The following is a 1515-nucleotide window of genomic DNA, read 5'->3' as shown; positions in this document are numbered from 1 at the left end:
GTTCCCTTGCTGCCGACGAGTTGTGATCCTTTGGAGGAGAAGAGGAGTTCTGGCTTTTGGAATTTTCAGCCTTTTTGCACTGGTTTTTCCTCATCTTCATGGATTTATCTACCTTTGAACTTTGATGTTGGTGACCTTCTGATAGGGTTTTTGAGTGGACATCCTTTTTGTTGATGTTGATGCTATTCCTTTTTGTTCGTTAGTTTTCCTTCTAACATTCAGGCCCCTCTGCTGCAGGTCTGCTGGAGTTTGCTGGAGGTCCACTCTAGACTCTGTTTGCCTAGGTATCACCAGCAGAGGCTGCAGAACAGCAAAGATTGCTGCCTGCTCGTTTCCTCTGGACACTTCCTCCCAGAGGGGCACCTGCCAGAGGCCAGCCAGAGCTCTCCTGTATGAGGTGTCTGTCAACCCCTGCTGGGAGCTGCCTCCCAGTCAGGAGGCCAGGGGTCAGGGACCCACTTGAGGAGGCAATCTGTCCCTTAGCAGAGCTTGAGCACTGTGCTGGGAGATCCACTGCTCTCTTCAGAGCTGGCAGGCAGGAACTTTTAAGTCTGCTGAAGCTGCACCCACAGCCACCCCTTCCCCAAAGTGCTCTATTCCAGGGAGATGGGAGTTTTATCTATCAGCCCCTGACTGGGGCTTCTGCCTTTCTTTCAGAGATGCCCTGCCCAGAGAGGAAGAGTCTAGAGAAGTAGTCTGGCTTCAGCGGCTTTGCCGAGCTGCAGTGGGCTCCACCCAGTTCAAACTTCCTGGAGGCTTTGCTTACACTGTGAGGGGAAAATTGCCTTCTTAAGCCTCAGTAATGGCAGATGTGCCTCCCACCACCAAGCTCAAGCATCCCAGATCAACTTCAGACTGCTGTGCTGGCAGTGAGAATTTCAAGGCAGTGGTTCTTAGCTTGCTGGGGCTGGGATCCACTGAGGAAAACCACTTGGCTCCCTGGCCTCAGCCCCCTTTCCAGGGTAGTGAGCGGTTCTGTCTTGCTGGCATTCCAGGCACAACTGGGGTATGAAATTAAACTGCAGCTAGCTCAGTGTCTGCCCAAATGGCTATCCAGTTTTGTGCTTGAAACCCAGGGCCCCAGTCATGGTAGGCACCCAAGGGAATCTCCTGGTCAGCAGGTTGTGAAGACCTTGGGAAAAGCATAGTATTTGGGGCAGAATGCATCATTCCTCATGGCACAGCCCCTCATAATTTCCCTTGGCTAAAGGAGGGAGTTCCCTGACTCCTTCTGCTTCCCGGGTTAGGCAATGCCTCACCCTGCTTTGGCTCGCCCTCCATGGGCTGCACCCACTGTCTAACCAGTCCCAGTGAGATGAGCCAGGTACCTCAGTTGGAAATGCAGAACTCACCTGCCTTCTGCATTGATCTTGCTGGGAGCTGTAGACTGGAGCTGTTCCGATTCGGCCATCTTGCCATCCACCCAAGAAAATGAAATTTTAGTAATCCTGGGTTGGGGAAATCTCAAGTCATTGACTTTGCCAATTACAACTTTGGAAACTTGATCAAGTTATT

The sequence above is a fragment of the Homo sapiens genome, chromosome 4 (genome assembly GCF_000001405.40).
Source record: "Homo sapiens chromosome 4, GRCh38.p14 Primary Assembly".
NCBI lineage: Eukaryota > Metazoa > Chordata > Mammalia > Primates > Hominidae > Homo > Homo sapiens.
The sequence above is the reverse complement of the archived record's forward strand: the minus strand, read 5'-3'. Positions refer to the sequence as shown.